The following is a 20034-nucleotide window of genomic DNA, read 5'->3' as shown; positions in this document are numbered from 1 at the left end:
CTGCCTCGACCTCCCAAAGTGCTGCCAAAATATTAGCATTTTGGCCAGGCACAGTGGTTCACATCTGTAATCCCAGCACTCTGTGAGGCTGAGGCAGGCAGATCACCTGAGGTCAGGAGTTCGAGACAAGCCTGGTCAACATGGTGAAACCCCGTCTCTACCAAAAATACAAAAATTAGCTGGGCATGATGATGCGCACTTGTACTCAGGAGGCTGAGGCAGGAGAATCGCTTGAATCCGGGAGGCAGAGGTTGCAATGAGCCAAGATCGTGCTGCTGCACTCCAGCCTGGGCGAGGGAGCAAGACTCCATTTCAAAAAAAAAAAAAAAAGGCCGGTGTGGGGGCTCATGCCTGTAATCCCAACACTTTGGAGGCCGAGGCGGGCAGATCACTTGAGGTCAGGGGTTCCAGACTAGCCTGGCCAACACAGTGAAACCCTGTCTCTGCTATAAAAAAATTAGCTGGGCGTGGTAGCGCATGCCTGTAATCTCAGCTACTCAGGAGGCTGAGGCAGGAGAATCACTTGAACACAGGAGGCAGAGGTTGCAGTGAGCCAAGATTGCGCCACTGTACTCCAGCCTGGGTGACACAGTGAGACTCCATCTCAGAAAAAAAAAAAAGTGTTTCAACATATAATCAATATTTTTAAATTATTAATAAAATAAAGTTTTTTCATAATAATCTTTGCAATCCAGGGTTCATTTTACACGATAGCACATCTCAGTTTGGATGCTCAATTTTCATTCACAATACTCGATCTGTATTTAGAGTTCATAGATTTACATAAGTAAATCGTTTCAAAGTCCTGTGACCAACTTGTCTTCCTGGAGAGTGTCCTGGTTTCGAAAATGAAAGTCTTACATCTTGAAATTCTCCTTGGTCCCAGGAAAATCAGGGCAGTTGGTCAACCTCTTCCAAACATACTTGGAGATTTTTCTTTCTTTTTTTTTTTTGTTTCTTTGAGACATAGTCTCACTCACTCTGTCGCCCAGGCTGGAGTGCAGTGTCGCCATCTTGGCTTACTGCAACTGCCATCTCCCAGGTTGAGGTGATTCTCCTGCCTCAGCCTCCCTAGTAGCTGGGATTACAGGCACATGCGACCGTTCCCAGCTAATTTTTTTGTAATTTTAGTAGAGACGGGATCTCACCATGTTGACCAGGTTAGTCTTGAACTCTTGACCTCAAGTGATCTGCCCAACTCAAGCCTCTCAACATGCTGGGATGATAGGCGTGAGCCACTGCACCCAGCTGGGTTTTGTTTTTTGGTTTGTACTGTGTTTGTTTTGTTTCTTCGAGATGAACTCTCACTCTATTGCCTAGGCTGGAGTCAGTGGTGCAATCTCAGCTCACTGCAACCTCCGCCTCCCAGGTTCAAGCGATTCTCCTGCCTCAGCCTCCTGAGTAGCTGAGATTACAGTCACTCACCAGCATGCCCTGCTAACTTTTGTATTTTTAGTAGAGGCAGGGTTTCACCACGTTGACCAGGCTGGTCTCAAATTTCTGACATCAGGCGATCCACCTGCCTCAGCCTCCCGAAGGCTTCTGTCCTTCAACCGCGCGCCCTCACTCCCTTGCTACGAACTCCCATTCATCCTTCAAAACCCAGCCTGAGTGTCCCCCTCCCCCCAGGTCACCCCCTTTGACCTGTCAATCCCCTCCCTCCGGGTCCCCAGCAAGCTTTTTGGTTTGGCTTCTCTGCACTCTCATGACCGATTGCCCTACATCTTGGCGCTCCCAGACTCGGGCCTTCTCCAGCACCGGAGTCGTCTGGTTTGCTCGCTTTACACTCCAAGCGCCTAGTACCGAGCCTGAGTGGGTGCCAGAGGGCGCGCCTAGGCTCAGGCTGGCTCCACCCGCCCCGTGCCTCCCCTCGGCCTTCCCCGTGGTCCTGAGGGTGCCCGCTCTCCTGCATTTCCCGTGCATCGGGCTGCCGGTAGCTCCGGCCGCCCGGCGGCGGCAGCAGCAGCAGCAGCACCGGGAGAGCCCCGCAGGCGGACTACAAGTCCTGGCAGGCCGCGCGCGGACCGCGCATGCGCAGTGGGGACCGGCGTTTGAGTGGCAAGTTGTTTGTTACAGCGAACACCAGCTGCTCCCCGCGCCGGCACCCGCGCGCCGCTGCTCCGCCGGCGCTGCCTCCCTCGACCCGTGGCTCCCCCTCGCAACTTGGCGGGCCTCCTCCCTTTTGTCCGGCCCGGTCCGGCCGCCGCCGCCCCCCGCGCCTGGCGCCGAGCTCCCGGGTCCCCGGGCCGGCTGTCGGTGCCGGCAGGGCGCGGAGGGGGCGGGGGCCGCGGCTCGTCCCCCAGCGGATGAGCTGCCGCGGACGGGGCGCGGGCGGACGATGGAACTCCACATCCTGGAGCACCGGCTGCAAGTTGCCAGCGTCGCCAAGGAGAGTATCCCGCTGTTCACCTACGGGCCTGATCAAACTTGCCTTCCTGTTCTCCAAGACCAGGTAAGCGCGCGGGGACGCGGCGCCTGCCGGGGACAGACAAAGGGGGCGCACCCCGGGCCGCTGTCCTCGCCGCCGCGCCTCGGAAGACAACTTCGGGCCCCGGGAGCGCCCCCGCCCCGCCCCCGCCGCCGCTTCGCTCGCGTCTGACAAAGCCGGAGCCGCAGGGTCCTGGCTCCCGGACCCCTCGCAACCCTCCACCCCTCGGTGCGCCACCCCCCACCTCTGTCGTCCCCCCCATCTCCCACCCCCTCCCCCATCGCAGCCCCCTTCCCGAAATCCGGGGGGCTGGGGCGGCTGCAGTGACGGATCCGTGAATGGATGAAGGAACGAACGAATGAATGAATGAAAAACAGGTGTGGGGACGAGGCCGTGGAAAAAACAAACGCCCCCATACCCCCATCCCTCGGTTGGGCCGGCCCCCGTCGCCACGGCGTGGGGAGGGATTCCGCTGAGCGCGGTTACCCAGAGCAGAAAATCATAAAATCATTAGTGGGTGTTTATCTCAAGGTGCCTACGAGGCTTGCTGCGGACGGCCTGGAATTGGGGGGGAAACGGGGGGTAGGCGAGGGCCAGGGAGGGGCTACAGAGGACGTGATTCTTTCTCCTTGGGGTCCTGGAAAGGGGGTGGGGGGATGTTTTGCCCAACCGTAGAAGGGGAGGAGCAGGCATGTTTATGCATCTGCCTTGAGGCTGGGCTTGGATGCTGCTGGGGGAAAAATAGTTGAAGGCCTTGGAAGGTAACAGATGGAATCACACACACACACACACAGACACTCACTCTCTCTCTCACTTGGATTTTCCCTATGCCAGGTAAGGGTTTGACATTGTGAGCCCCGGTGGGTGCTTGCATTAGGGTTTTGTTGTTGTTGTTTAAGGACCCTGAGCCGAGGGGAGTGTGAGTGCCAGCTAGCTGCTGTAACTTAAGTCTCATTTGCCCACGATTGTGACTGTTAAAAAGGAATGATAAAGTTGTTACTGGTTGGTTTTTCGCGGTTTGGGGCGGTGGTGGCTCTCCCTCACTGCAAAATGAATGAATACGTTTCGGGTCAAGGTTAGCGTGAAAATGACAGCCCCTGTAGGCTGCCCCCTTTGGCACTGAGCTCAAGGGACACAGGGAAATAATTCCATCCCAGCCTGTTATCTGCCTGTGAAAAGTTCTGGCTTGGAAATCTCACTTTGATGTGTGTGTCTGAGCCGGGTGCTCAGTCCGGCTATTGTTTGCGAGATGGAGCCAGACCTGCCGGTGGCATCTTGTTTACTTTCTTCTCCGGCTGCTCAGTAGGGGATGGAGATTTGAAATAGTCGCCAAGCCTCTGCCACGGAGCCTGTGCTCCCCGTTGATTGCAAAGGGTAATGATTAAACAGGTCATTTGAAAACAAAAGCCAACAGCTCGGATTCTGAACCGCGCCCCCACCCCTCACACAAAGCCCCCTCTGGCTGTTGACACCTTCAGATCCTGCTTCTGCCTGCCCTCTGCCCCCCACTCCCTAGCCGGGCTGGACGTTCCAAGGCTTGGAGGTAACAGAACAGCCTTGTTTTTCCAAGTCTTGGCCCTCAGCCCTGGGCAGCCCCCTGGCTGATTTCTCGGCCACCATTCAAATGAGGATGATGACTCAGGCTGCGGCTGTGCACAGGGCCTGGGTGCTGGAAGGAGGGGGCATTTGGGGGCTTCTTAGAAAGGCAGCAAAGGGCAGGGTCCCTCAGCCCCTTTCCCTTGGTGGAGAGACTGGCCTTCTTCCAGCCCCCAACTCAGGGTCCCCTTTGGGTACTCATGGATAGGCGTGTCTCTGGGGTCAAGCCCCCCTGCTGGCCTCTGGGAACACAAGAAAACCTGTCCCTCAGTGGGTCCCCCTTCCTCCCTCCTGCAGAAAGCAGCCTGTCCTGTCCCAGGCCCAGGTGACCCAGCTGACTAGTCCAGTTTCAAGATGACTCAGAGGCCAAAGGCCATCTCTGTTTCCATGGTCCGGCCTCAGAAGGTGCGGAACATTCGTCAAATGCCTGAGGACCTGCCACCCCAAGCACTCTGAGCCCGGATCGTGGCTTCAGGTCATGTGTGACCAGAGCCCGCTGCCTGCGTGGCTGAGGCAAAGTCTCTCCTCTGGCTCACACTTTGTCCGTCTGTAAAATAGAGATAGCACTACTTGGCCCCCTCATGGACACAGAACTGCTGTGTGGATGGTGTGGGACGATTGTGGGAAATGGCTTTTTAGCAAGTGTTAATGGGTCGCAGCCTGCGAACATAGCATTTAAACTGTTTTCAATAATCAGCCATCCAGGTAGAACCCCTTAGATTCTTCCTGTAATACCTGCCCCCAGGTGGTGACCCATAGCTCTGTCACCTCCCTCTCCAAAACCTACGTTTAGCCCAGACTAGGACAGCATGCCCTGAGGGTCCCTGTGCCACCTGTTTACTTTTCTTTTTTTTTTTTTTGAGATGGAGTTTTGCTCTTGTCCGGGCTGGAGTGCAGTGGTGCCATCTCAGCTCACTGCAGCCTCCATCTCCCAGGTTCAAGCGATTCTCCTACCTCAGCCTGCCGAGTAGCTGGGATTACAGGCATGCACAACCACGCCTGGCTAATTTTGTGTGGAGACGGGGCTTCTCCATGTTGGTCAGGCTGGTCTTGAACTCCCGACCTCAGGTGATCCACTGGCCTCCACCTCCCAAAGTGCTGGGATTCCAGGCGTGAGCCACCACTCCCGGCCCGGTTACAGTTTTGTCAGTCACTCTATAGCATCAAATCGTTGACATGGCATTCGAGGCCCTTTGGGATCTAGATCCTGAATCCTCATCTTTATTTTTTTGTTTTTTATTTTTCTCTTTTAGAGACAGAGTCTTGCTCTGTCGTACAGGCTGGAGTACAGTGGCGCCATCATAGATCAATACAGCCTCCAACTCCTGGGCTCAAGCAGTCCTCCCACCTCGACCTCCCAAAGTCCTGGGATTACTGCTCCTGGCCTTGAATCCTCATCTTTAGCCCTCCCCCAGCAAATACACAATTTCCCTTATTGTTCCCTACATACCTCTGTGCCTTCGTATCTACCTCTCTTCCATCTGCCTGGAATATTCTCCCCCATCCACCCCTAGTAAATTCCTATTCAATCCTCAAGAGCTAATGATAGCACGCTGAAACCTTCCTGAACCTTTCCCTCCGCCCCTTAGCAGACTTAAGTCACTTCTCTCTCGTGCAGTGGAGTTGTGGAAAGGGAATGGCATTAGGAAACATTCACTCTGTGTGGGGGTGTGGCTGGGTCCAAGGGATGCAGAGATACCTTGCCCCTTCCTCTGCCAAGCCCTAGAGCCTGGTGGAAGAGAAAGAAAGAGGCCATCACTCTACAGCAGGGTGGAGTCAGGGAAGGGCTGGTCTAGCAGGGTACCTAGAAGGCTGGGTGCCTACCTGTAGGAGGTGGCACTAGATCTTAGAGCTTTTTGTTTGTTTGTTTTTAAGAGATGGGGTCTCCGTTGCCCAGGCTGAAGTACAGTGGCACCATCATACCTCACTGCAGCCTCGAACTTCTAGGCTCAAGCAATCCTCTCACCTCGGCCTCCCAAGCACCTGGGACTGCGGGTGCGCACCACCACACTCAGCTAATTTTTAAATTTCTTGTAGCGATGGGGGTCTCACTGTGTTGCCCGGGCTGGCCTTGAACTCCTGGCCTCACATGATCCTCCCACCTCAGCCTCTCAGAGGTGCGTGTGGACATAACATTTAAACTGTTACAGGCATGAGCTGTTGGTCAGGCTGGTCTCGAACTCCTGAACTTGTGATCCGCCCATCTGGGCCTCCCAAAGTGCTGGGAGGCGTGAGCCACCATGCCTGGCCAGTGAACACTAACGTCTTAAGAGGCATTTATGAGAGAAAAGCTTAAAATTGCAAAAAGTCCATGCAGAGCCCTCGTCATTCCTCGGAGCACATTGGGCTGAGGCCACTGTCTGATTGCCCTTTAGGGAAAGACAGGCTAGCCCAAGGGAGTTAGAGCCCTGGGACACCTCGGCTGGAATCCCAGCACTGCTCATCCTGGCTGTGTGACCTTGGGCAAGTTGCTTGACTTCTCTGTGCTATGTTTCTTACCTGTAAAACAGGGATGATGATCATGCCTGCAACCTAAGTGGTTGTGAGGGCTTGATGAGATAAACCACGCCAAGCACTCTCAAGAGTATCTGGTCTACTAGAAGCTCCAATAAGCATTTTTTTTTTTTTTTTGAGACAGAGTCTTGCTCTGTTGCCCAGGCTGGAGTGCAGTGGCATGATCTCAGCTCACTGTAACCTCTGTCTCCCAGGTTCAAGCGATTCTCCTGCCTCAGTTTCCCAAGTAGCTGGGATTACAGCTCTCTACCACCATGCCTGGCTAATTTTTGTGTTTTTAGTAAAGACACCTGGAACTCCCAAAGTGCTGGATTACAAGTGTGAGCCACTGTACCCAGCCATTAAGCATTAACTGGGAAGGCCCTGGGGCCACTGGCCAGCACCAGTTTGTGAGGGCAGAGCCAGAAAAGCCCAGGCTTAGAAGACTTTTTACACACACACATAACGCATCCTGATTCTGGAAAGTGGAGATGCTGTCACTGCTCTCACAGAACTAAGCCAAGGACCTCACCTGTCATTTAGGTGTCAGGCCTCTGGCAGGGGCAGCCAAAATGCTCTAGGACCACAGAGCTGCAAGCCAGTAAGGCTTCCTAGAGGAGGCGGCATCATCTGATCCAAGAATGGGGTGATGGGTGGCATGAGAAAATGTCAGGAGGTGCTGGGGATAAAGCAAGATGAGCAAGCAGAGAACAGGAGTGGGTGGGTACAGATGGATCAGGGGAGGGGTATGGGTGAAGAGTGTACAGGGTGAGCCCCAGAGCCGTGCGTGTGCCCACTCAGGACAGCCATAGTCTGCTGCTGCCTAGAGAAAGGGGCTGGCTCAACCCTAGCTCCCAAATCTTTTTCCTATGACTTTTTCCTTTGTCCTTATCTCTTTCCTGAACTATCCAGATATCTTCCTGCCTCCTGCCTCTAGGGCAGCCCAAATGCTCATTGCTGCCCCATCCCTCTGGGCTGAAGGAGCAAACGCCTGGAGGCTGGAAAGAGAAAGGTGTCTGCAGGGAACAAGCCGCTGTCCTGTGGTGGGTGCAAATTGGTATGCTCTGTTCACGCAGAAACCCAGCAGTGTGTACCTGCTGTAGGCAAGGCCTAATAGGAAGCGCGAAAGGAGTTTCTGTCCCATGGGAGGAAAAGACGTGAGTCCTGTGTGTTCTCCAGCAAAGGTAGAGGGTGAGAGGACCAGAGGCCCGCACAGGGGGCATGGCTGGGAGTGCAGGGGCAGGGGGGGAGTCCGGGAGGATGGAGGGACACAACTGGAGTGGGTGCTGGGTCGACTTCATGCATTCCTTCAGAATCCCTGGCCACATCTCTGCCTTGTTGGTTTTGTTTGTTTTTTCAGACAGGGTCTCACTCTGTCACCCAAGCAGGAATGCAATGGCGTGATCTCAGCTCACTGCATGCAATCTCTGCTTCCTGGGTTCAAGTGACTCTTGTGCCTCAGCCTCCCGAGTAGCTGGGATTGCAGGCATGCACCACCATGCCTGGCTAATTTTTTGTATTTTAATAGAGACGGGGTTTTGCCTTGTTGGCCAGGGTGGTCTCAAACTCCTGACCTCAGGTGATCCACCCACCTTGGCCTTCCAAAGTGCTGGGATTACAAGCGTGAGCCACCACTCCCGGCCTGAATTCTTTCTTGATCAGATGTCTTCTGTCTATCCACTCTGGCTCTGTCTACTCCCTTCCCAACACATGCTCTATTTTAGGTAACCATGGTAGTTTTGTTTTGTTTTGCTTTTGCTTTTGTTTTTGGAGATGGAGTTACACTCTGTCTCCCAGGCTGGAGTACAGTGGCACGATCTCGGCTCACTGCAACCTCTGCCTCCTGGGTTGAAGTGATGCTCCTGCCTCAGCCTCCTGAGTAGCTGAGGTTACAGGTACCACCACCATGCCTAGCTAATTTTTTGTATTTTTAATTCAGATGGGTTTTACCAAGTTGGCCAGGCTGGTCTTGAACTCCTGACCTCAAGTGATCTGCCCGCCTTGGCCTCCCAACGTGCTGGGATTACAGGCATGAGCCACTGCACCTGGCCAACTGTGGTAGTTTTTAGATTTTTTTGTACAGAGGGGGTCTCACTCTGTTGTCCACGCCGGTCTCAAACTCCTGACCTTAAGTGATCCTCCCTTCTTGGTTTCCCAAAGTGCTGGGATTACAGGCATGAGCCACTGCTCCCAGCTGCTGGTGGTTTTAAAAGCTAGGATCGGCTGGGCGCCGTGGCTCACGCCTGTAATCCCAGCACTTTGGGAGACCGAGGAGGGCAGATCACAAGGTCAGGAGATCGAGACCATCCTGGCTAACACGGTGAAACCCCGTCTCTACTAAAAATAGAAAAATTAGCTGGGCGTGGTGGCGGGCGCCTGTATTCCCAGCTACTCAGGAGGCTGAGGCAGGAGAATGGCGTGAAGCCGAGATCCCGCCACTGCATTCCAGCCTGGGCAACAGAGCCAGACTCCGTGTCAAAAAAAAAAAAAAAAAGCTAGGATCCCTCCACCCCCCTCTCCTTTAAATGTCTGTCTTGGCTACTTTCTTCTAAGTCACTAGGAGATGGTAAAAGCAATACCGCAAGACTTCCGAGGCTAGGGCACAAAACGATAGCTTCTGCGTGGCGCTCCCTCTCTCCCAGATCCCTTGCTCTGTGGGAAACCAACCCCCAAGGCCTGAGGACACCCAAGCAGCCCCATGGAGAGGCCCATATGGAGAGGAACTGAGGCATCCCACCCTCAACCGGCAGAGCGGGGCTTTGAAAACAGATCCTTTCGCCCCAGGCAAGCCTTCCAATGGATTGCAGCCCCAGCCAATGCCTTGAACTGCCAAGTTCAGCCACACCTAAATTCCTAACCCATAGGAACTGTGAGAGATAATAAAAGTTTGTTGTTGTTTCAAGCCACTAAGATTTGGGGTAATTTGTTATGTAGCAACAGATAAGGAATGAAATGACCCTGCCATTTATCATTGAGACGGGAACAAACATTTTTTAGAATAGCAGGAAGTACTTAAAATAATTACTAGGTTGGCCAAGTGCAGTGGCTCATGCCTGTAATCCCAGTATGCCTGTAATCCCAGCAAGCCTGTAATCCCAGCACTTTAGGCTGATCGCTTGAGCTCAGGAATTGGAGACCAGCGGAGGCAACATGGTGGGACCCCGACTCTGCAAAAAATACAAAAAAATTAGCTAGGTATGATGGCGCCTGCCTGTGATCCCAACTACTTAGGAGGCTGAGGTGGGAGGATTCCTTGAGCCTAGGAGGTAGAGGTTGCAGTGAGCCGAGATTGCACCACTGTACTCCAGCCTGGACAACATAATGAGACTCTGTCTCATCATCATCATCATCATCATCATCATCATCTTAACAATAATAACAACAACCTGCAGACAATAGGGCAAACCTGACTATGTGATCATGCTACCTTTAGTCCAGCCAGAGAACTCTCATGAGTCCTTAAACCTAACACAGACACTTCTTGAGGTCGGCTTCAGCATCCTCTCCTCCAGGAAGCCACCCTGGTGCCTGGTGAGTGGCTTCCTGGGATCACCCATGCCTCAGGGTGCAGGATGAGAGGGCTGGTCCTGATCCCCTTCTGTCCTCACCCCCAGGTCCATGTCCAGGGCTTAGGACCGGTCGTCCCTCGGTGTTGACTTATCTCCCAGGGATCAAAAAAGTCAGTTGTAGCTGGGCGCAGTGGCTCACGCCTGTAATCCTGGCACCTGTGGGAGGGCCAAGCAGGTGCATCACCTGAGGTCAGTAGTTCGAGACCAGCCTGGCTAACAAGGTGAAGCCCCGATTCTACCAAAAATACAAAAATTAGCCGACGTGGTGGCGGGCGCCTGTAATCCCAGCTACTCAGGAGGCTGAGGCAGGAGAATCACTTGAACCCAGAAGGCAGAGGTTGCAGTGAGCCAAAATCATGTCACTACACTCCAGCCTGGGCGACAAGAGTGAAACTCCATCTCAGAAAAAACAAAAACAAAAACAAAAAAACCTTGTAAAAGGTTTAATTGGTCTCTTCTGAGCCTGCACACAGCTGGAAAGGTTTTCTCTTATAACAGATCTGCAGTATGAGAAACCAGCCCAGTTGCATCCGCGCTGGGCCAGTGGGATTCTGGGTGTCCAAGGTCCCTGTGGGCCATCCACGGTGCTAAATTAAAACTTTTTGAAAAACATTCTTTTTTTTTTTTTTTTTGAGACAGAGTCTGGCTCTGTCCCCCAGGCTGGAGTGGAGTGGTGCGATCTTGGCTCACCACAAGCTCTGCCTCCCGGGTTCACACCATTCTCCTGCCTCAGCCTCCCGAGTAGCTGGGACTACAGGCACCTGCCACCACGCCCGGCTAATTTTTTTGTATTTTTAGTAGAGACGGAGTTTCACCATGTGAGCCAGGATGGTCTTGCTCTCCTGACCTCGTGACCCGCCCGCCTCGGCCTCCCCAAAGTGCTGGAATTACAGGCATGAGCCACCGCACCTGGCCTGAAAAAAATTCTTGAGACAGGGTCTCACTGTGTCACCCTAGTTGGAGTGCAGTGATGCAATCCCAGCTCACTCCAGCCTCGATTTCTCAGGCTCCAGCAATCCTCCTGCCTCAGCCCCACTGAGTAGCTGGGACTGCAAGCACTCACCACTACACCCAGATAATTTTTGTTTTTTTTGTAGAGATGGGGTCTTGCTATGTTGCCCAGGCTGGTCTCGAACTCCCGGACCCAAGTGATCCTCCTGCCTCAGCCTTCCAAAGTGCTGGGATTACAGGTGTGAGCTACGGTGCCTGGCCTAAATGGAAAACTGGTGTCTAGGTGCCATATATACTCAGGCTTGCCCTCACCATAACACATTGAACATACTCCAACCTCTGAGCTAGATCTCTGCTCGAAAACCTGAGGTTTTGCTTGCACACCCCAATTTTTTTTTTTTTTTTTTTTTTTGAGACAGGGTCTTGCTGTCACCCAGGCTGGAGTGCAATGGTGCGATCTTGGCTCATTGCAACTTCCATCTCCTGGGTTCAAGCGATTCTGGTCCCTCAGCCTCCCGAGTAGCTGGGATTACAGGTGCACGCCACCACACCTGGCTAATTTTTGCATTTTTAGTAGAGATGGGGTTTCATCATGTTGCCCAGGCTGGTCTTGAACTCCTGACCTCAAGTGATCCACCAGCCTCGGCCTCCCAGAGTGCTGGGATAACAGGTATGAGCCACCGCGCCTGGCCATGCACCCACATTTACAGCAACCTTATTCACTAAGGCCTAAAGGTGGAAGTGACCCAGGTGTCTACTGATGGATGAACAGATCAACAAAATGGGATGTATTCACACAGAGGAATATTATTCAGAGGGGAAAAAGGAAGGAAATTCTGACACATGCTACAACATGAATGAACCTTGAAGACATCATGCTGAGTGAAATAAACTAGTCACAAAAGAACAAATACTGCATGAGATCCCACTTGTATGAAATACCTGGTGTAGCCGGAGTCATAGAGACAGAAAGAATGGTGGTTGCCAAGAGCTGGGGAGTTGGTGTTTAGTGGGTATGGAGTTCCTGTTGGGTAAGATGAAGAGTTCTAGAGATGGATGGTGGCAGTTGCTGTCCGTATTGCAAACGTGCTTAACACGATTGAATTGCACACTTAAAGATAGTTAAGATGGTAGGTTTTGTTGTGTGTATTTTACAACAATTAATAAAATTTGAGGCCAGGCGTGGTGGCTCATGCCTGTAATCCCAGCACTTTGGGAGGCTGAGGCGAGTAGATTGGTTGAGCTCACAAGTTGGAGACCAGCCTGGGCAACATGGTGAAACCTCATCTCTACAAAATATACAAAATGTAGCTGGGCATAGTGGCATGCACCTGTGGTCTTAGCTACTCAGGAGGCTGAGGTGGAAGGATCGCTTGACCCCAGGAGGTGGAGGCTGCAGTGAGCCGAGATTGTGCCACCGTACTCCAGCCAGGCAGTAGAGCCAGACCTTGTCTCAAAAAAATAAAAATTAAAATTAATGTTTAAGATTTTATTTTATTTTAGATTCAAGAGGTACACGTGCATGTTTGTTACATGCATATATGGCATACTGGTAGGGACTGGGCCTCTAGTACGCCCATTACCCAAATAGTGAACATTGTACCCGATAGGTAATTTTTTTAACCTTCCTCCCCTTCCCAACCTCTATTGGAGTCCCCAGTGTCTGATGTTCCCGTATTTTTTTTTTTTTTTTTAGACACGGTCTTACTCTATCGCCCAGGCTGGAGTGCAGTGCAATCTCAGCTCAATACAGCCTCTGCCACCTGGGCTCAAGTGATCCTCCTGCCTCAGCTTCCCGAGTAGCTGGGACTACAGGCATGTGCCACCACACCCAGCTAATTTTTGTATTTTTTAGTAGAGATGGGGTTTCACCATGTAGGCCAGGCTGGTCTCGAACTCCTGACCTCAGGTGATCCACCTGCCTCGGCCTCCCAAAGGGCTGAGATCATAAGCGTGAGCCACTGCTCCCAGCCATGGCAGTTCCTTCTCGAACACCCACTATGCATGAGGCCTCCGCTGGGAGTTCCCATCATTCACCCTCATAGCAGCTCTACAGGAAGGAGCTGTCTGCCCCCAAGTCACACAATGGACAACAGCAGTTTAGGGTTCAGCCTTGGCCCCCCCACTCCGAACTCCTCCCCGCCTATGCCCTCCACTCCTTTCCACTGTTAACCCAAGATGGAAAAGCTTATGCCGAGGGTCATTTCTCAGGATATGCACATAACAGGAAAATGTGTTTTTATCCAAATTCCCACAACCCACCAGCCATGTGATCTTGGGCAACTTAGAACCTCCAAGGAGGGTCTGGCTCTGTTATCTATGCTAGAATGCAGTGGCATGAGCATAGCTCACTGCAGCCTCAACGTTCCAGGCGTAAGCAATCCTCCTGCCTCAGCCTTCCAAGTAGCTGGGACCACAGGTGTGCACCGTCATGCCCAGCTAATTTTTAAAAAAGATTTTTAGTAGCAACAGGGTCTTACTATGTTGCCCAGGCCAGTCTCGAACTCTTGAGCTCTGACAATTCTCCTGCCTTGACCTCCCAAAGTGGTAGAATTATAGGCGTGAGCCACCACACTGTGGCCTGGCTTCATCTTTAAAATAGGAATAAAGTGAGGCATGGTGGCTCACACTTGTAATCCCATCACTTTGGGAGGTCTTGCCTGAGGAAGCGGGAGGATTGCCTGAGCTCAGGAGTTTGAGATCAGCTGGACAACATAGTGAGACCCCATCTCTACCAAAAAATAACTGGAGATAATACTATCAACATCTTGGGTGGTTGTGAGAATTAAATGGGGAATTTTATGTTAGGGACTTAGTGAGGTGTTGATTACATAGTGAACCTATTATTCACAGAAATTCAATGGATGTTTATTGAGGTGCCCTCTACTTGATGCAGGCCTCGGCGAGGTGGCAGTGGTGGCCTCTGTCCCCATGGCACGGATGGTCTGTTCTGCTTTGGAAGCACTGGAAGGGCACATCTGACAATTGCAGGATGGCTGATTTTTATTGGAGGAAGGGAAGCTGTTTATTTGTTTCAGATTGGCTGAGCTGTGGGGATGCGGGAGGCTGGCAGGAGGGGAGGGGTCTATAGTAAGGAGACTGGAGAAACTTTGGGGCCAGGCAGGCAGCCCCCTGGTAAGAGCTGCTTCTTGGAACACAAAGAGCCGTTGCGTCCTCCAGCCGGCCTTGAGGAAGGTGTGACTTCTCTGCTCCCAGCAACGTCTTGGGCACCCTTCTCTGCCCTGCACAGCAGCTCTGCCTGCAGGGTGCCTGGACACTCTGGGTGTCTACTGTGTCCCCATATGGTGCTTGCAAGTCTTCCTCCCAGACTGCCCCCTGCTTCTGTGTCCCCTCCCTGGTGCACAGCGCCACATCCAGCCCTCCTCCCACCCAGCCCACCCAGGTCCTGCCCGTCTGACCCCCAGTCGTTCTCCAGTCGCCCCTCCTCTGCGCGCTGACTGCCATGTCTTGTCCTCTTTTTCTTTTTTTTTTTGAGACAGAGTCTTGCTCTGTCATTCAGCCTGCTGGAGTGCAATGGTGCAATCTTGGCTCATTGCAACCTCCGCCTCCCTTGTTCAAGTGATTCTCCTGCCTCAGTCCTCCCTGGGATTACAGGTGTACACCACCATGCCTGGCTAATTTTTATATTTTCAGTAGAGTCAGGGTTTCACCATGTTGGCCAGGCTGGTCTTGAACTCCGAACCTCAGGTGATCCACCTGCCTTGGCCTCCCAAAGTGCTGGGATTACAGGCGTGAGTCCCCATGCCCAGGCTGTCCGCTTCTATTCTAGCTCCCCCACTCCTGATCCACTGACCCTGAGGCCTCAGAACGAAGGTCTCATCCCCTCCAGGCAGGCCCTCCTTGGCAGGGGAGCTTCAATTTGTATAGGAATCAAATCCATCCTGTTGGGGTTTTACCATGTTCCCCAGGCTGGTCTTGAACTCCTGAGCTCAGACAATTCTCCTACCTTGGCCTTCTAAAGTGCTGGGATTACAAGTATGAGCTACCACGCTGGGCCTATTTTTTTTTTAATAATTTTTTTTTTTTAATGTGGGAGAGTTCAAATGTGAAATCAAGGCCCAGTGCGGTGGCTCACGCCTATAATCCCAGCACTTTGGGAGGTGGAGGCAAGAGGATCGCTTGAGGCCAGGAATTCAAGACCATTTGGGGCAACATAGCCAGACCCCGTCTCTACAAGAAATTTTAAAAACTAGCCAGACGTGGTAGTGCACACCTGTAGCCCCAGCTACTCTGGAGGCTGAGACAGGAGGATCACTTGGGCCCAGGAGTTGGAGGCTGCAGTGAGCTATGCTGACACCATTGCACTCCAGCCTGGTTGACAAAGTGAGACCCAGTCTCAAGAAAAAAAAAAAAAGTGGGAAGAAGCGTACCCCACCACGCTTCTTCTTTGGGGTTAGAATTTTGGGCCTGCACTGGAATGTGGAACGCTGATAGGGGATGGGGACAGGTGGAGGTGTCAGGGGTGCCCTCAGACTCTACCCTCCTTCATTGCCTTCGAGGTGAGGCTGGGGAACGACCCTGGGGTAAGGGGATTGCCCGTGCCCACTCCCCTGCATGCAGGAGCTGGATCTCTGATTCGCTCTTCCCCTTTCCTGATGGGAACTTGCTCCTGCATTTGGCCCCTGGGCCTCCGGGTAACCTGCCCCAGCCACCCAGGGCTTGGCCCCAGGCGAGTGCATCTGTAAGGGCAGATCCCGCGGTGAGTTTCCTGGGTGACTCCTTTGCACACACCCAGGCTGGACTCCCTCCACCCCCTCCCAACTGAGCAATGCTTTTGGGCTGTTTCGTCCACTAGAGCAGCACAGTCAAGAATGAGGGGGTGTGTGGGCTGGGCGTGGTGGTTCACGCCTGTAATCCCAGCACTTTGGGAGGCTGAGACAGGCGGATCACAAAGTCAGGAGTTCGAGACCAGCCTGGCTAATATGGTAAAACCCCGTCTCTACTAAAAATACAAAAATTAGCCGGGTGTGGTGGTGCACGCCTGTAGTCCCAGCTTCTTGGGAGGCTGAAGCAGGAGAATTGCTTGAACCCGGGAAGAGGAGGTTGCAGTAAGCAGAGATCGCACCACTGCACTCCAGCCTGGGCAACAGAGTGAGACTCTGTCTCAAAAAAAAAAAAAACAAAAAAAGAATAAGGGGGTGACACCTCAGAACAAGCTGCAGGCCTGGTGTCACCTGCAGATGACAAGGCTACCGTATCCGTTCCTCAAGCCAGGCCTCTGAGGAGCCCTGGTGGGTAGGGTGCTGGAGGGAGAACTCAAGCTTGCAGGCAGTAAAACGCATTTTTTTTTTTTTTTTTTGGTGGCGGGGACAGAGTCTCACCCTGTCTCCCAGGCTGGAGTGCAGTGGCGCAATCTCAGCTCACTGCAAACTCTGACTCCTGGGTTTGAGCGATTCTCCTGCCTCAGCCTCCCGAGTAGCTGGGATTACAGGTGTGCACCACCACACTCAGCTAATTTTGGCATTTTTAGTAGAGATGGGGTTTCGCCATGTTGGCCAGGCTGGTCTCAAACTCCTGACCTCGGGTGATCGACCCGCCTCAGCCTCCCAAAGTGCTGGGATTACAGGCGTGAGCCACTATGCCCAGCCACATTTCTTTCTTTCTTTTAAATCTGTGCTTTTCTCCACCCTCTTCAGACTTTGTTCTAGTCTACAATTTCCCTCCTGCAGCTTCTCTCTGATGACGTCCCCGCCCCGCCCCGCCCCCCACCCAGCCCGTCAGTCCAAATTAGCCTGGTTTAACTGCCTTTATTTGTCAGTTTCTGTAGAAGAATGAAGAAGGTGATGGCACCCACGTTACAGGGCTGTTCACGGGAGGTTTAAGTGAGATCTTACAGAGAAAGCGCTTAGCAGGTGCCCCAGGTCCAGAGTGTGGGGTTGGCTGGGAGTCGTGTGCATCTCCTGCCCTGACCCCCTCTGCAAACTTGGTTCCTGAGTGCTTGAGTGAGGCACACTTGACCTGCTTATGTGGTTCCCATGGCACCATGATGTGGGGAATGTTTCCCAACAAGGCACCTTATCAAGCGCTCTCTCTCCACTCTGCTGTTCCTACCACATATCCCTGGGCAGGTCACCCTGCCTTTCTTGTTTTCTTTTGAAGACAGGTCTCGCTCGATCACCCAGGCCAGAGTACAGTGGCAAAATCATAGCTCACTGCAGCTCCTGGACTCAAGGGATCCTCCTGCCTCAGCCTCCTGAATAGTTGGGGCCGCACGTGTATGCCACCACACCTGGCTAATTTTTACAATATTTTGTAGAGACAGGGTCTCACTTTGTTGCCTAGGCTGGCCTCAAACTCCTGGCCTCAAACGATCCTCCTGCCCTGGCCTCCAAAAGTGCTGTGATTTCAGACGTGAGCCACCTCGCCTGGCCTGACCCGGCCTTTCTGAGCCTTCAGCCCTCATCTGTGTCTGGAGGCGTTCTAAAAACCAAGGAATAGAATACCAGGGTCAGACTCAGACTTTGCGTTCAGTAGGCCGTCAATACTTGGGTTTTCGCTCAGTTTCTGGGGCATTGAGACTGATAGAAGCAACGGACCCCCTTAGCTCAGGCAGGCAGGCAGGTATTGTCACCAAGAGACCCTGGAGATCAGGGGAGGTTATTTGGGGTTGGGGATCTCCAAGGAGGGGCAGGGAAGTTAGTAGCATCATTGGGCTGGAAATGGGAAGCGTTTGGCTTGATGGAAGTGGTGAGGCTGGGGTGTGGGACCCTCGCCATGTGAACTACATGGGGTGATCTCAGTAGAAATTGGGACCCGCCAACCATGGTTGCCTGGGAGAGTTGAAGTGCTGGGTGATACAGAACAACAGGCCAGCTGCCATCTCCCCACCTTTGGGAGGGCACCCTCTGATGGTGGATCCCTGGAGGAAGGGCCCCAGGGACCCAGGAGCCAACACCTCCCTTCCTGCTCCTCTCACTGCTGTTGATGAAGATGACAGGCTCCCCTTGACTCAGGTTCCTATGGGCCAGGCCCACCGCCATGCCCTTTGGATGCATTATCAACTCAGGTGGGTATGTGACCTCCCCCTTGTCACAGATAAGGAAACCGAGGCCCCAGAGGGTGAGGAACCTCCCTAAAGCCATCTGTATAACTTAGTCGAAGAAGCTAGCTTTGGACTCAGAAGTCTGATTTAAGAGCCACTTGGGCACAGTGGCTCACACCTGTAATCCCAGCACTTTGGGAGGCCGAGGCAGTCGGATCGCCTGAGGTCAGGAGTTCAAGACCAGCCTGGCCCATGGGGTTAGTAGAAACCCCGTCTCTACTAAAAATACAAAAATTAGCTGGGTGTGATGGTGCACACCTGTAATCCCAGCTACTCAGGAGGCTGAGGCATAAGAATTGTTTGAACCCAAGAGGTAGAGATTGCAGTGAGCTGAGATTAAGCCACAGCACTCCATCCTGGGCGACAGAGTGAGACCCTGTCTCAAAAAAAAAAGAAGAACCACTCTAGACTGTGCCACTCCTCTCTCTATGAAGGGTGAGCCAGTGAGACTCTGAAAGATGGGAGGTCTAGCCCCTTCTCAGGGCAGGTCTGGTTCTGGTCCTCGGGGCTCCCACAGAAGCAAAAGTTGAGCCCCTTTCAAGAGTCACTGTCAGGGGGTTGGGGGCAGTGGCTCACACCTGTAATCTCAGCAGTTTGGGAGGCTGAGGTGATGGGATTGCTTGAGCTTAGAAGCTCGAGACCAGCCTGGGCAACATAGCGAGACCCCCATCTCTACAAAAAAATATACAAGAAGTAGCTGGGCATGGTGATTCCTGCCTGTAGTCCCAACTATTCTGGAGGCTTAGGTGGGAGGATCACTTGAGCCCGGGAGGTTGAGGCTGCAGTAAGCCAGGATCATGCCACTGCACTCCAGCCTGGGGGACAGAGATTGAGAAAAAGCCTGTCTCAAAAAAAAAAAAAAAAAGGAATCATTGTCAGGAGATCTCAGTTCTGCCCTGATCCTCTCATCCCAGCTCTGCCCTTGCTAACTGTGACAGTGAACATGTTCCATTACCCCCCAGGTCTCAGTGTCCCGTCTGCAGAGGGGCATGGCAGAACCTTCCTTAGGATGGCCTGAGGGTTAGATGGCATCATGGAGAGACCAAGCCCAGCACCGCATATACCACAGGTGGTTGCTCCAGATGGATACCTGGATAGCTCTTTTTTCGTTAAATCATTTTAGCCAATTTCAGCTTTCCATTGACTCCTTCAGCAGATGCTCACCAAGACACCAATGCCACCTTTATTTATTTATTTATTTGGATTTTTTTGAGACAGAGTGTCACTCTGTCACCCAGGCTGGAGGGCGGTGGTGCAATTTTGGCTCACTGCAACCTCCACTTCCCCAGTTCAAACAATTCTCCTGCCTCAGCCTCCTGAGTAGCTGCGACTACAGGCATGTACCACCACACCTGGCTGATCTTTTTGTATTTTTAGTAGAGATAGGGTTTCACCATGTTGGCCAGGCTGGTCTCGAACTCCTGACCTCAGGTGATCCGCCCGCCTTGGCCTCCCAAAGTGCTGGGATTACAGGTGTGAGCCACTGCATCTGGCCAGCTCTTTTTTTCTTAAATCATTTTAGCCAATTTCAGCTTTCCATTTACTTCTTCAGCAGATGCTCACTGAGACATGGATGCCACCTTTATTTATTTATTTATTTGGATTTTTTTTGATACAGAGTCTCACTCTGTCGCCCAGGCTGGAGGGCAGTGGTGTGATCTCGGCTCACTGCAACCTCCACCTTCCCGGTTCAAGCGATTCTCCTGCCTTAGCCACCCAAGTAGCTGTGACTACAGGCGCGCACCACCACACCCAGCTAATTTTTTTGTATTTTTAGTAGAGATGGGGTTTCGCCATGTTGGCCAGGCTGGTCTTGAACTCCTGACCTCAAGTGATCAGCCCTCCTTGGCCTTCCAAAGTGCTGGGATGACAGGTGTAAGCTGCCGCACCCAGCTGGATACTGTCTTTAGAACATGCCTGCAGGGGTGGATCAC

The 20034-nt window shown here is 52.7% G+C and overlaps 1 long non-coding RNA gene and 1 pseudogene across 5 annotated transcripts in view, besides 5 other annotated features; both read left to right on the top strand.

The window, feature by feature from the left end:
* Positions 1775 to 1864: a silencer, noted in NCBI's record as "silent region_18429". NCBI's record gives its function as "represses an Ori minimal core promoter by ATAC-STARR-seq in GM12878 lymphoblastoid cells {active_cell/tissue: GM12878}" and the evidence as "EXISTENCE:reporter gene assay evidence [ECO:0000049][PMID:35858748]".
* Positions 2058 to 20034, top strand: part of CASTOR3P (CASTOR family member 3, pseudogene) — a 71580-nt pseudogene continuing 53603 nt past the window's right edge. For 2 of the 4 annotated variants that reach the window (NR_028040.1, NR_028039.1), the window contains exon 1: positions 2058 to 2452. The product of NR_028040.1 is annotated as a CASTOR family member 3, pseudogene, transcript variant 4 (transcript). The remainder of the gene's footprint in view (positions 2453 to 20034) is intronic. The other 2 variants (NR_166147.1, NR_028038.2) reach the window with 1 other exon arrangement.
* Positions 2145 to 2464: a silencer, noted in NCBI's record as "silent region_18428". NCBI's record gives its function as "represses an Ori minimal core promoter by ATAC-STARR-seq in GM12878 lymphoblastoid cells {active_cell/tissue: GM12878}" and the evidence as "EXISTENCE:reporter gene assay evidence [ECO:0000049][PMID:35858748]".
* Positions 2525 to 2574: a silencer, noted in NCBI's record as "silent region_18427". NCBI's record gives its function as "represses an Ori minimal core promoter by ATAC-STARR-seq in GM12878 lymphoblastoid cells {active_cell/tissue: GM12878}" and the evidence as "EXISTENCE:reporter gene assay evidence [ECO:0000049][PMID:35858748]".
* Positions 3443 to 3964: an enhancer, noted in NCBI's record as "NANOG-H3K27ac-H3K4me1 hESC enhancer chr7:99867949-99868470 (GRCh37/hg19 assembly coordinates)". NCBI's record gives its function as "activates a minimal SCP1, AML or CMV promoter by ChIP-STARR-seq in naive and primed H9 embryonic stem cells {active_cell/tissue: H9 hESC(naive and primed)}" and the evidence as "EXISTENCE:reporter gene assay evidence [ECO:0000049][PMID:30033119]".
* Positions 4489 to 5011: an enhancer, noted in NCBI's record as "H3K27ac-H3K4me1 hESC enhancer chr7:99866902-99867424 (GRCh37/hg19 assembly coordinates)". NCBI's record gives its function as "activates a minimal SCP1, AML or CMV promoter by ChIP-STARR-seq in naive H9 embryonic stem cells {active_cell/tissue: H9 hESC(naive)}" and the evidence as "EXISTENCE:reporter gene assay evidence [ECO:0000049][PMID:30033119]".
* LOC105375426 (uncharacterized) lies at positions 6806 to 9423 on the top strand. The gene is made up of 2 exons (XR_927809.2): positions 6806 to 7674; positions 9160 to 9423. It is a non-coding gene; the product is annotated as an uncharacterized LOC105375426 (long non-coding RNA).

Source organism: Homo sapiens, chromosome 7, assembly GCF_000001405.40.
Source record: "Homo sapiens chromosome 7, GRCh38.p14 Primary Assembly".
In the NCBI taxonomy this organism is placed as follows: domain Eukaryota; kingdom Metazoa; phylum Chordata; class Mammalia; order Primates; family Hominidae; genus Homo; species Homo sapiens.
The sequence above is the reverse complement of the archived record's forward strand: the minus strand, read 5'-3'. Positions and strand labels throughout refer to the sequence as shown.